Raw genomic sequence first — 14904 nt, 5'->3', positions numbered from 1 at the left:
AGTAAGAAGTATTACTAAGAGAACATATAGAAAGAGACCAAAAAATGTATTTGTACAGTAAAATATCTTAACTGAAAACCGCTATGAAAATACAGTGAACATAACATTCTGCAGATTTTGATATTACCATTTCCCTATTTGAATACAGTATGTGACATATCAGATATCCAGTGGACCTCAGGTTTCAGCATAAATTTCCTGAGGAATTAATAATATATCTGATGTTATGTTTCCATCTAGCAGTACCTATCCATAAATATACTGATGAATTCAATCAACATTTAAGGTAGCATATTGCTAGTGTCAGGAACTGAGGATTCCAAAAAATATATAGACTTATGCCCTGGTGATACTACTCTAGAACTTATGTGGTCATTGCAATAACTAAGTCAAGAAATAAGTGTGATGGGATTTCCATAAAGGACTTGCACAAGATATCTTGAGGAGTGAAGAAAAAACTTCAGGTAGAAGGAGTCTCCTGTAGATGTTTAATTCCTTTGCCAAATGGAGTTTCTAAAATGTATGGCTTATCATGAATAATCATTCCAAATGTAATTCAGAATAAAATTTTAATTTTACATAAAAATTTCCAATAATGGGAATGAAGCATACACACACACACCAGAAACATGGATATTGAGTACTCAGACTAAAAAAAATCACAATATAATATGTTCAAAGAAGCAAGATTATAATTAAAGATTCAGTTTCTTATAACACTTAATGGGCATTTGCTAATACCCAAGCCCTGTGTTAGCAAACTCAATGTACTTTCTAAATTATCCTTTACCTTAACTCTAACAGGAATTACTGTTTCCATTTACAGGATAGAGAATTGAAACTAAGAGAAATGAATTAACTTGCCGTTGGTCACACAGCTAGTGAGCGTTAGAATCAATATTCACAGTTTTTCATGTATTTTTTTTTTGCTGTTCTTTTTATACATAGCCCCCAAATCACATTAGACGTTTTTAAAGCAGAAAGAGTACCAAAACTGTGATTGACAGAAAATTAATAACCCATGTCACAAATACTTTCAGACACATAAATGGCTAACCTCATTCATCCTAAAAAATTTAGCCATTTGCTTGAGAATTTTACCAAAGATCGTTAATGAAAAGATCCAACAATCCAGCATATATATTTTTATAACTAGTAGTATATGATTAAAAACTAATCATTGATTAAGAGCAGCCGAAACATAGTATGTAATTTTGGTTCAAAAGCGATTCTTGCAAAATACACATAAGAGACCCATCACCTACCAGGGATTGTGTCCTCAGGAATGTCAAAAGAGTACACGGGTCTGGAAAATTTGGGTGTATGGTCATTCACATCACTGACAGTGATATTAATTCTCATATCCGAGGACTGAAGACCATCATCAGCACGAACTAGCAGTGAATATTTGGAGCGGCGTTCCCTGTCCAACCGCCTGGTTGCTATCAGATCTCCGGATTCTGGGTCGATGCGAAAACTATCATCAGCTCCACTAATGATAGTGTATGTGACGAGAGCATTTGCACCCTAAAAAAAGAGACCAAGCATCTGAGCTATTGGAAGTAGAAAAGCATTGCTCCTTATATTTTCTTTTGAACATGTATTTGACAAAGGAAGGCTTTTTGGCTTTAAGTTCATATGATATTATAAGACTTAAACAGGTAATGAGAGATAAACTTACTAACTAACGAAGGCGGTAAAAGCTTTGTATGCCCCAAATTACAAAACATTGCTGAAAGAAATCAACAAAGATACAAACAAATGGAAAGACATCCCAAGTTCATGCATTGGAAGACTTAATATTGTTAAAATGTCCATGTTATCTATGCAATTTACAAATTCAATACAATTTATATCAAAATCCTAACAGCATTTTTTATACAAATAGGTAAAGCAATTCCAAAATTCATACGAAACCACAAAGGAGCCTAAATAGCCAAAACAATCTTGAGAAAGATAAACAAAGTTAGAGGTATTGTGCTTCCTGATTTTAAAATATACTACAAAGTTACAGTAATGAATAAAGTATTGTGCTGGCATAAAGACACACATACAGACAAACCAAACAGACTAGAACGCCTATAAATAAATCCATGCATGATAGTCAATTGATATTCCATAAGGGTGCCAAGGATATATAATGGGGAAAGGATAGTCACTTCAACAAGGGGTGTTGGGAAAACTGGATATCCATATGCAAAAGAATGTAAATATACATTATACACAAATATCAATTTAAAATGGATTAAAGACTTAAAATTAAGACCTGAAACTATAGAACTCCTAGTTGAAAATTGCTAAAAGACAGCCTGGGCAATTATTTCATGTATATGACTCCCAAAACAAGCAACATAAGCAAAAGCAGACAAGTGAAAGTATATCAAACTAAAGTTTCTCTACAGTAAACAGTCGAGAAAATGAAAAGGCAATCTATGGGATGTGAGAAAATATTTGCAAACTGTATATCTGATAGAAAGTTAATTTTCAAAATATATAAATAAGTCCTACAACATAATAGCTATTAAGTTTGGTAATCCAATAAAAAAATGGTTAAGGTCTTATATAGATGTTTCTTTAAAAGAATACATAAAAATGGCCAACAAGTGGCCAGGCGTGGTGGCTCACACCTGTAATCCCAGCACTTTGGGAGGCTAAGGTGGGCGGATCATGAGGTCAGGAGATCGAGACCATCCTGGCCAACATAGTGAAACCCCGTCTCTACTAAAAAAAAATTCAAAACATTAGCCAGTAGCCTGGAGTCCCAGCTACTCGGGAGGCTGATGCAGGAGAATGGCATGAACTCGGGAGGCAGAGCTTGCAGTGAGCCAAGATCGCACCACTGTACTGTAGCCTAGGTAACAGAGCGAGACTCTTGTCTCAAAAAAAAAAAGGCCAACAAGTATATAAAAAATACTCAGTGTCACTAATCATCAGGGAAATGCAAATCAAAACCACAATGAGAAATCACCTCACACCTGTTGGCATGGCTATCATAACAAATAAACCAAAACAAGTGTTGGTGAAGAAGTGGGGAAATTGGAACCCTTGTACACTGTTGGTGGGAATGCAAAATGATACAGCTGTTGTGGAAAAACAGTATGGAGGTCCTCAAAAAAATAACAAATAGAATCACCGTATGATCCAGCAATCCTTTTTTCACAATGGTCATGATTTGGAAACAAACTAAATAGCCATTAACAAACGAATAGATAAAAAAAGGTGATATAGGTTTAGCATCCCTAATCAAAACTAATCCAAAATCCAAATGCCCCAAAATCCAAACATTTCCAAGTGCCAATATGATGTTCAAAGGAAATGCTTATTGGAACATTTCAGATTTTGACATTTCAGATTAGGGATGCTAAATCAGCATGTATAATGCAACTTCCAAAATTTAAAAAAAAAAAAAAGGAATTTGAGACACTTCTGGTCCCAAGTATTTCGGATAAGAAATACTCAACCTGTATATACATACAAAGGAATATTATTCAGCTCAAAAACAAAACGAAATCCTGCCATATGTGACTACATGGATGAGCCTTAAGGATGTTATATTAGATAGTCACAGAAGGACAAATGCTGCTTGGTAGGTATTTATATATATGAAGTATCTAAAATGGTCAAACACATAGAAGCAGGGAGTAGAATGGTGGTTTTCCAGGACAGACAGTAGGGAGAAATCAGGAGCTTATAAGCCATGGGTATACATCTTCACTTATGCAAGAGGAATAATTTCTAGATCTACTGTACAACATCGTGCCTATAGTTAACAATACTGTATTGTACATTTAGAAATCTTTTAAAAGGGCAGATCTCACATTAATGTTCTTATCACAATAAAATAAAAATAAAAGCGTATCAAATGAATACAATATTTTACAGTCATTCACTATTCATGGACTTGGCTTACTGTTGAACAGTGTGTTAGAGTGGACAATTTTAATATAGAACAAAAGAAGAAAGTCAAGCTAAAATGTTAGAGTATCGGTATATTTTTTGAGAACTTCAAATATAACACAACTTTGCCTCAATTCTACAGCCAAGGAACCCCAATATTGTTTTAATTGGAAGCAATCTTTTAAGGATATTGATATTGCAGTATGGACTAGTGTAGGGAGAGGCCAGAGAAGGCAGATTGTGAATACAGTTGGGGCCCAAGAGACTGAGGCTTCATTTCCCCCAAGTTGCTGAAACAGTTCTGTAAAATGAAAGTCCCTGTTCTGGAAAATGAAAATGGGGGTGATTTCCTACGTACTCTCAGGTCTTTGAGCTGTGACCCTCAAAATTCTGAACTAGAGAGATGGCGGAGAGAAAAATAGAATATTCATAGTGTTTGCTAGCTGCTAAACGCCACCTTGAGCACATCAATTCCAGGGCACTAATTAATTTGTTAAAGGCAAACTAGCAAGGTAAGTACTATTAGAATGCCCATTTTAAAAGAAATTAAGGGATTGGAATCCTGGCCGTCTTGCTCTGAATCAATTCATGGGACAAATTAGTAAAATTTGACAGATTATTGAAAATAGAAATAATACTAATAGCTCTCTCATTTGCTCAACATTTCCATATATATTCTCACTTTTTTAACAACCCCATGTGCAAAGTAAAAGCAAAAAAGAAAAAAAAGTCTTTTTAAATTTCAAGTTACTTTGGCTGGCAATTAAGAGAGTACTCTTACTGAGGACATTTCAAGAATAGGACCTGCTTTGATGCAGGATAAATAGGAAGTGAAATTTTATTTGCGGTGTATTTAGGGATTAAAGAATAGCATCATAGAAATGGTTATCTGGCAATTAGAGATTTGGGAATGAGGTTTAAAATAAATATCTGAGGGTCATTTTATGTGGGTGTCAGTTGAAGCCACAAGAGTCGTTCAGAAATTAAATTAGAATAGATAGAGATAGGAACACTCATATAAGGACTGAATGATGGTGAAGGAATGGGAAAAAAGAAGAGAAGCAAGGATCGGCAGAAGAAGAAGGAAGAGAGATATTTCTTAATTCTGTATATTACAATCAAAATACTGCGTTTAATATACCCTGTGCTGATTGAGATATGATGCTCTGGGGCCATATTTTGTGGTTGAATTTGTGCTCCATTTATTAGTCATGTGGCATTGGACCACATACTTAACCTCTCCAAGCCCATGTTTCCTCATCTGTACACTGGGATGATAATATTACCTGCCAAAAAGGATTGTTTTGGAGGTTAATTTAGTGAACATATATTTTAAAAACCTAGAACAACCCTTGACAGATAGTAAGCACAGGAAAATGATAGTTGTTATTTTATTCTTATTCTTACTATTTTCTTATAAGAGAAACATGATGGCTTAAATTTATTTGATGACTTAGACTTCTGCAAATGAATAATTTAAATCAAAATATAACTAGAGTTGCCATATATCCATGGGAAAATACAGTATCAGATTTCCTATTATATGTTATTATTGACCTTGACACTAGGTATAAGTAGTGCTAGAAATGTTGACTTCAAAAATTACTCTTTAATTTAATATACTTACCTAAAACAAATATACCATTTATTGTAATTAACCTCAAAGAATGTATTTATTAAAATATAAAGACACAGAGCTCTCAATGAGAATATTAGGAAGAAGGTAAGTTTGGAGTGTATAGGCATGTAAAGCTGACACAGTGGGGGATTACAGCATCCACAGTTTCCATACATCTTTTCCATCATAGCTTACATACATTTTTTCCTTCATGGTCAAACATATAAGGAGATGATTTCTAACAGTCTAAAGCAAAAATATTCCCGCTATATTTAGTGTTAGTTTGTACTGCATTCTTCAGGCCAGTCTTAACATTTAGTAAAATGAATGCCTCAAAGCACATTTAAATTTAATAATGGAACAGCTGAGTCTAAGACATTACCCACATTTACCTTGTATATTCAGGTGTACATTGAATATCTAACGTATTTATTGTAATTTTATGGTTTAACAAAAACTTTCAATAAGCATGTGAGAATTCTCATCTGACCACACTCTGTACATTTGTTCTGTTTCACTAGGAATTCCATTATTTTAGTAAAGTGGGTGAGGTATGGAAGTAGCTACATTCAATTCAGACCCATGAAAATAGTAAGTACTTGGAAATTAAGGTAAAGAAAAGAAACAAAAACCTATTTAATGCTATTACAAAAATGGTTTGATATTTAGAAATGCCCTGTCTACAAATGGGCTGTAATAAATAATAATATTCCTAAAGTTGTAATAATTTTTCTGAAAAGAGGTAAACATATCAGGCTGTGTTGATAAAAAACAATCTTTTTCATATTCAAAATCAGCTGATGTGGTGAATTCATAATATTAGTGAATGTCTGAAAATATCTGGCCAAGAGTAATGATTTAATTAGGTCTTTTGAAAAGTCTATTTACTAAATATTCAAAATATGCCATATCAGCAACAAAACAAGAAACAAATATCATGTTTCAGCTTCACTGCAGTGGAAATAATGCTGGTTAAAAATATTCTGCTCTCCGGATGAACCACAGAGACAAAAGCACATAGAAGGAATTCTAAAAGTAAATAGCTATAAATTTCAAATGCATATTAGAACCTTAAATAGTATTTTCAAAAACATGTATGGTACCACGAAGCAAAGTTTGAGTATCCTAGCCCATTACTAGCATAATTTATAAAAGGGAACAAGAGACAAACGGAATCATGTGCTTCTGAAACATGTAAATCTTGATCCAACACATTTCAAATGATATCTAAATTAAGTTCAACATGTACATGTTGTTTTATAAAATTGTAATTCCTTTACCCAGGCTTTGTTCTACAGTGCCCTACAAGAGTTCCTATAGCATACTAACACTTATATGTTAGGTAAAGTAATTAATGAAAAGTATATAAATAATTTTTAAAAATCTACACAATTGGCTGATGACCTACATAATCTCGAGTCTTACTCAAACTAGATGAAGAAAGAAAACAGAGCCAGGATTTGAAAAGAGAGAAAATTTTTAAAATATTTTCCCCAAAATTTGGCTAAGAGGTAAGGAGCTGAGAATAAAGTAGAAAATAAAACAAAGGTTTATCTAAAAGCATTAATATTTATTATAAGCAACTAAAAACAACAACAAAAAGAAAACAGCCCAAAATTCTAAATGCCATAGGCAGCCATTCTACTTAATATGAAACCAAAGACATGTGAGTTCCTCGTGTCAAGAGTTATAGTCAGTCAGCAGTTATTAAAACGTTATTAAATTGTTTAAGAGAAAAATGCATTTAAGAAGACAAACAACTTTGTGAGCTTTTTCTTTAAAAAACAATGGTTGTAGTTTTCCTGAAATGCCCCCCTTTCCTTTAATGTTGTAGGTGCACCTAGTTACTCCCTTCCATCCTCTCTGCCTTTCTACACTCGCACACAAACAAATCGAGTTATAAGAATGTGGTGATTTTTATGCCTTCAGGCACAGTCACACCTCATACATATTGTCAGCATCCCTCTCTACCCTTGAATTGCTAACAGCCTTCCCTCCAATTCTCTTGTTCATTCCAACATTATAGCCTTATACTTTTCTGGCCCTAATACCCGACTCTGTCTCATCTCAAAAGTACTTCTTATATATCCTAGCTATCATCACTTTACATTCTGTATTTTTCTTAACTAGCATGTCTAAGTGATAACATCTGCAAGGTTACTTACATTTTTTTTTAAACTTAAAAAACAAAGCTCAGTAGAAATAAAATAAAAATTCACAAAAACCAGTGTTGGTCTAAATACCTAGATGTATAAGGACCTTCCTAGGCTTCCTCTAGTCTCATCATAAAGGTAAACATAGCTTAAAAGATGAACTTGGAGGCAATGCAAGTGTGTGCACACATACACAAACACACACACGGAAGTCAGATGGAGAAAAATAAGAATGCTGGCAGCATTGCATTTATACTAATACTTACATGAAATATTCTTAAAGAGAAAATATTGGGAAGGAAATAAAATTATAACAGTATCAAGAGAACAGTATTAAAAGGGGTGAGTGTTGGAATCTCTGAAATAACCATTTCTTAAGAGAGCAGTATGATGATTAAAACAACTAAATTTCCAAATGCAATTCTACCTGTGATTCCTGTAATTCCTATTAAATAATCCCACTCTAATTATAATATTCCATGGAGTAAATAGCCATCCCATTAGAATATCTATTATAATTAACATGATTATTACTTCATTCTTTTAAAGTGATTAGAATAAATCACTTCAAATAAATGAGTTTTATTTGCTCTATTCTTAGAGTATAACCAATGAAATAGTCATTACAATTTCAATTATTTGATGTCAATTGTCCTATGCCAATTACATGAGTTTTTTGTTATTGCTGCTACTTTCAAATAAGAGTTAATGAAATTTTATGAATTGATAAATCAAAATGTATATTATCAATGATAAACTTTAAGAAAATGAAATATTTACTGAATTATGGCTAATGATATCACATATCTATCAACAATAGAAATATTAAGTCAGATAACTCTTTTAAAGCTAGCTAAATTTGAAATAAGTGTGAACTTCACATTGTAAAATTGAGTAGAATGTACTAAACATAAAACATCGTATCTTTTCTAATAGCAAATTGCAATTACCTAAATGTGTATGCTTTATTTTGTTCATTTGTAATAGTTAGATTTTGGCAAAATGTATAAATGACTAAGTCATTACCTTTCTGTATTGGCAGTTAAAATTATTTTATTATTTATTTATTTAAATTTTTAAGGTTACAGAAATACATTTATAAAGCACTGATTCATATGCCAGGAATCAAGTTTCTGATATTTCTGAGTTTAGATGAGAGGAAGAAAATTAAATTCTCTGTTCTGTGTTCGGCTTGGCTTAAGGGGAAAGAGGTAAGGAGATACTGGTGTCTGGAAAGTTACTTCTCTTCCTTAAACTCCAGAACATTAGTTAAACTCCTTACCCAGTAAAGAGAAAATAAGCTATGGAGTTTTTTTCATAAGAAAAATACAAATCACAAAGTATTTGTTTCCATGCCATTTGAAACATAATAATTACATAGCTGAACTTAATATATAAATATAGAAAATAGTAATCTAAACCTTAAAATTCTGTAGTTTTAAATTATTTGCTTTTAACAATTACAAATAAAATAAAAACCAATCCTTAGCTGCTATAAGATAGCAAAGGGGAATAATAATGGCATAAAATAGAGATACCTCTTTAGATATTTTTATTATTAAAGAAAAAAAATAATTTGGCTAAGTAACCTAAAGTGCAAGCAGCAAGTGAGTTGTGGATTGCTGATCAGAGGAAAATTACCTCTTGATAGTAATCTCTTTTTTAACATTTTTATGTTACATTTCAAGAATTAATGTTCTTTGGAAAGGAGCACACATGCTTAACCTTAATTATTGGGTAATAAAAGTAGTCAACATATCCTAGAAATTTGATAAATCACTGCACTACGAAGTTTCACAAATTCAGAGACATGCTTGAGCTACCTCATCAGCATCCATGGCTGTCAGCTGCATAATCTTAGAGCCATCTCCAATGTTCTCCTCTACCGTGAGATCCAGCATGTCCGTTGGAAATACTGGTGGATTGTCATTGATATCCTGAAGTGTTATTTCTACCTACAAAGAAAAAGGAAACAATGTGTGAATGACTCCCACGTGTCTGCAAGATACCAATTAAAATGACTACCAGGAATCCACGCAATCAAGACTGCCAAAATGAATTGGAACCTTTGCATCTAACATCCAAACAACAGAAACTACCCCTAGGGAAAAGTTGTGAAATCTTTACACGAAAACATAAAGTCGAAATAAAAATCGTCTGCCTTGTTGATAAGTAACTGATTTTAAATAGTGGCCATGGAGTTTATACTAGAAAAGGTCCACTGATTAACTGTCATTTTAATCCCCAGATTTGCACATCACTATGGAACTGCCAAGGCTCAGCACTGTCTGTCATTCAACCATTAAATGCTGCCTGACAAACAGAGGAGGTGGTATAAAATTTCTTGCTGAAATGTTTACATATTGGCAACTAATGTCTGGGGGAAATAAAAAAGTTCACATGTTGTTTTAAGAATCACTCAGAATTTCCCCCTTTAAAGTCCACGCTCAACCTTTAATGGGAAGAAAAATACATCTTTTCTTTCTATTTCCACTCGTATCAGCACTCTCTATTTGTGACTAAAGCTAAGCCATCATTTCTTTCAGATGTCATGTGGATATAGGTTGCAAATATTAACAGCTTTGTTTAAAAGATCCTAGCCAGAGTTATTTGTTTGCTTCCTCACCTAAGAAAAAATGTTTAGAAGAAAGGATTTGTGAAGTATAAAATAATAACTTCAAACTCTGTATTTTCTCTTTTGAGTTAGGTGCTAATAGCTCAAGTTCTGGTAAGAAAAGGGGAAAGACAGCTGCTAATAAAACTGAAATCTTCCCAGCTGGATCACAAAATTAAGTCATCCATTTAATTAAAAAACCCACCCATCCATTTAGTTAGGATATAACCAGGGCATGTTTGTCATAGGATAAAATGTCATCTTTTATAATTATGCTGTAAAAACTCCATCAGTGATGAGTGATAAGGATGAATCTGAAGGAAGTGGGGAGAGCAAAATAATTCTGATTTCTCCTTTCCCAGGAAGAATGGAAGCTGTGGGAAGGGGAGAGGCAGTAAGTAGGACTGTCATCATTATCTGAAAAGGAATGAATGGGAAATATACAAGAGCTAGACAAATAAATGAGCAATTTATAAAAATAGAAAACAATATATAAAATTAAGTACTAAATAATTGTTATACCTCTAGTTCCACCTTTTAGTAGAAGAGTGGATCATAAAACAAATGGCTCAAATGAGTCCAGAGAATGGTGAAGACAGGCAAGTCTCAGCAGTTAGAAATCTGACACTTCTGATTTTGGCTAGCAACAACCATTCTCGACACCATTTCCTTTAAGGAAATGCCCACAATAACTACAACTGCAGCCTGGAAGATGCATTTCCAACTTCCTTGCAGGGTTGTAAATATCATGGGTTTTAGAATTAGAGAGACCAGACTTCAAATTCCTGTCTGACACTTATTAGCTAGATGAACTCGGGCACTTAATTTCTCTTAGCCTCAGTCCATCCTTTTAAAATCAGTATAATAATATGTGTCCTAGAGTATTTTGTGAAGACTAAATCCTGATGATATAGGTAAAGAAAATGCTTAACACAGTTTCTGGCACAGAGTGAAGTATTCTATAAAAAGTCAAGATCTTGGTTTTCAAGCTGTTAGGACAGATCTGGAAGCTTCTTAGAGCCAGAGAAAGGCTTTGAGAAAAGGTATTTTTAAAAATCAGAATTCCAGTCCCACATACAGGTTCAACTGGCACATACTGAATGTACACTGAGTTTTCATGTGGGAAGAGCTTTGAAATACACACACACATACATATTTTATATATATATATATATATATATATATATATATATATATACACACACACATACACATACATATATGTAATGAATGTTCTTCAGAAATTACTAAATATCTTCACTTTATACACGTAAATTTTTTGCATATATATGCATAGTCCTTAAAACAAGAAAAAATAACAAATAAAAGGTAACTGAATGCATCATAATTCAACTCTGAACTTTTAGATTCATAGAATTTTAAAAAATTCTAAATTGTCTTTCATCTGTAATCTTATGACTTTATTGGGAAAGCAACAAGCCACCCTTGTGCATGCTAGGGGTGTGTGTGTGTGCATGTGTGCTCGCATGCATGCGTGTGCATGTATGATTTTGTAAATGTCTTTGTGAAAAAATGTACGTGTGTTTATGTAAGTATGTGTGGGTGTGTGTAAATGTGTGCATGTAAGTGTGTATGTGCAGGGAAGAACATCAAATTGAGCGTAAGGAAGGTCTAGATTGACACCAATTAAATATGACCATCAAAGGCACATCAGGAAACAGAGTCACACACTAGGAACAAGTTGAGTATACCTAAAAGATGTCTCAGTGTAACTGGTGGGTCCATGAATTCAGCAAGCCAATTCTATATTTTAATAGTTTTAATAAAATAACTAATAAACATACCTGATTTTTTTAGGTTATATGTGTATGTAGATACATACACACCTACACACACATATATACATATAAAAACCTCAGCAGAGCCCTATGACCTAAGAACTTTATCTCCCATTGGATAGGTGAGTTAATGAAAGTCCAGTGGTAAGGAACGACCTAGTGCCACAGAGCTAATCAGTCAGTAAAGAAAACTTACACAGTCTCATGCGTGTGTGTTAAAAAAACATAATGAATCATGTTTTTAAAATATATGCTACAGCTATACAAATATATTTTCATAAATGTGCATTTCATTCACATCTGGAATCTGGATCACTTACATAAGAACTAACTAACTATTAATCAATCTCTCTCTGTCAAAATTTTTTAAAAAACTAAACTAGGGGATCACTACATAGTGCTCTAGAAGTCTGTGATCCCGTATGCTCTGTGAGATTTTGGTCATTTCAAATACGGAAAAGTCTTTCTTTTTGCTTTAGTAGAGATAGTAAATTTAGTTAAATATTATTGAGTTCAAAACGACACCTTTTTGAATGAATCTATATAGACCAGTTGTATATACAGATCTAGACCATTTCATCATCATTATATTCTGATATATGCAAAGTTATATTTTTAGTAAGAATTCCATAGGTCATTTATTTAATAAATCAGGCTATCCTCTTTCCCAAAATTAGTGTCATCTTGTCATTCTAAAAGTGAATAATGGCCGGGCGCGGTGGTTCACACCTGTAATCCCAACGCTTTGGGAGGCCTAGGCAGGGGAATCACCTGAGGTCAGGACAAGCCTGAGTTCAATACCAGCCTGGCCAACATGGCAAAACCCCATCACTACTGAAAATACAAAAATTAGTTGGGCGTGGTGGCGTGCACCTGTAATCCCAGCTACTCAGGAGGCTGAGACAGGAGAATCGCTTGAACCCAGGATGCAGAGGTTGCAGTGAGCCAAGATGGCATCACTGCACTCCAGCCTCAGCGACAGAGTGAGACTCTGTCTCAAAAAAGAATAAAAAAGAAAAGTGAATAACTTCATATTCCATTTCTTGAAAATCTAGATATTTTTCCTTAATTGCCCATTCCCTTTTCTCTACTCCACAGTTCCTTAGATATAACTGAAAAGCTTTCAGCATGGTTTGGCAAAGTTATCTCAGTAGCCTGCGGTTTTAATTATCTAGGAGAGAAGATCTGAACTCATTAGCATAGATAAGTGTTATCCTGCCATTTCTTCACTTATCCAGATCCTTAGTGCCATGGTTTTATCTACCAAGAATTGCAAGATTCTGAACCCATTTACATGTGATGTGGTCACTAAATCTAACATTTATTCATTGAATATTTTAGAATCTGTCACATAACAAGTATGTATTAGTCACCAAAATATATAAAAGAAAATAAGACAAGTCAGCATCCCTTGTAGAAAATAGGTGATGTACTTTAATAGCAATATTTACAAACAGAAGCAGTCATCCCTGGGAAAATACACTGTTGACATCTTGATTCCAGAAATTTGTCTTTAAATTGCTTCCTTGTTGCCATTGGTGTTACTATTTATCTTGATGATTCTAAATCCTAACATGTGCTTGGTTCACTCTCAGATCTGACACCAACCATTACTATACCTTCTTTAGACTAAGGTTTGGTGTGATTTATTTTAAAACGTTATATAAAACACAAGAATTGAACATTAGAAGTTTAGAGAAAAAAGCAGGAAACAATAACTACATTTTTATAATTCTTAAAACCCTTTTATTTCTATACAATTTAGATCACTTTAAATAATGAAGACAGTTGTTATTAGTGGTTTAGCTTAAAATTCTGAGATCTTAAAAGTCTACAATATTATTTCTAAACTAAAAAAGCATATGTTGTAAAAATTAAAGGACAAACCCAATACTACTACATAGTTAAGCTTTCAGTGCCAGCATTGCCCCTCTTAGTGTTTTACATTTATCTTTACATTTGTTTAGACTGGAGGTAAAATTGCATTCAAATAAACATTTTGCAAAAACACAAATCACATTTCAAACTCAGAAGTTTCTCTTCATGAGTGGCTACATTTTGAATAAAAACAAAACACAATCTGGCAATAGCTTTTGTAATTGAAGTTCAGAACAACTTAAGGTATCAATTCTGAAAATCTGTAAAAACTGCCCTTTAAAGATGAAGATTCATGATCCCGTTAAGATAAGGCACTTCCATGTTTTCTGCATGCCTACCAAATGTTGACCTTTGTGCTTAGATATCTGGTCCTTTAAAAATGTGTGTGGTTTCATCTGCTACAATTAGAAGAAATGTAGTTGGTAGATCTGTGCTTGACTTACAATAAACACTTCAGCTGCAGCTAATGGTTGAGCTAAGGTATCACCCACTGCCACTACCGTTGTTACCATTTAGGTAGCTTCACAAGAATGACTTTCTTGACTGAGTCACCTGAGCCCTGAGCAGTAAAACTCTGGTAAATGAAATAATTTTATTTAGAGACAAACACATGACTGAGATTAAAGGAGCTAATAACCAATTAGTTCACAAATGATCTGTCTTTTGGTAATTTTATAAAAGTAAAATTTAAGTTAGAAATATGCCTTTAAATATTGTTACCAAATTACTTTATGCTGAAGGAATAAAATCCCTGGTATTCAGCTTGCTGAAGGGTCAAATGGATATTTTAAAACTAAAAAATATTTCTGTGGGAATAGTGCATAAAATAATATAATGCTTTTCTCTTTTTTTTATAATATGCAGTCTATCATTTTATTTTGCTCTACATCAAGAATGTTATTATACATGGGGATTAATTTTTTAAATGTTTCAGCATACAACTAC

General features: G+C 33.4%; 1 protein-coding gene across 6 annotated transcripts in view; it reads right to left on the bottom strand.

The window, feature by feature from the left end:
- Window positions 1-14904, bottom strand: part of FAT4 (FAT atypical cadherin 4) — a 177978-nt gene that overhangs the window by 84526 nt on the left and 78548 nt on the right. For all 6 annotated transcript variants that reach the window (NM_001438396.1, NM_001438397.1, NM_001291303.3 and 3 more), the window contains 2 exons: window positions 9492-9623; window positions 1266-1527 (listed from right to left, as the gene is read on the bottom strand). In NM_001438396.1, coding sequence (NP_001425325.1) covers window positions 1266-1527; window positions 9492-9623 — 394 coding nt within the window. The remainder of the gene's footprint in view (window positions 1-1265; window positions 1528-9491; window positions 9624-14904) is intronic.

The sequence above is a fragment of the Homo sapiens genome, chromosome 4, assembly GCF_000001405.40.
Source record: "Homo sapiens chromosome 4, GRCh38.p14 Primary Assembly".
In the NCBI taxonomy this organism is placed as follows: Eukaryota; Metazoa; Chordata; class Mammalia; order Primates; family Hominidae; genus Homo; species Homo sapiens.
The sequence above is the reverse complement of the archived record's forward strand: the minus strand, read 5'-3'. Positions and strand labels throughout refer to the sequence as shown.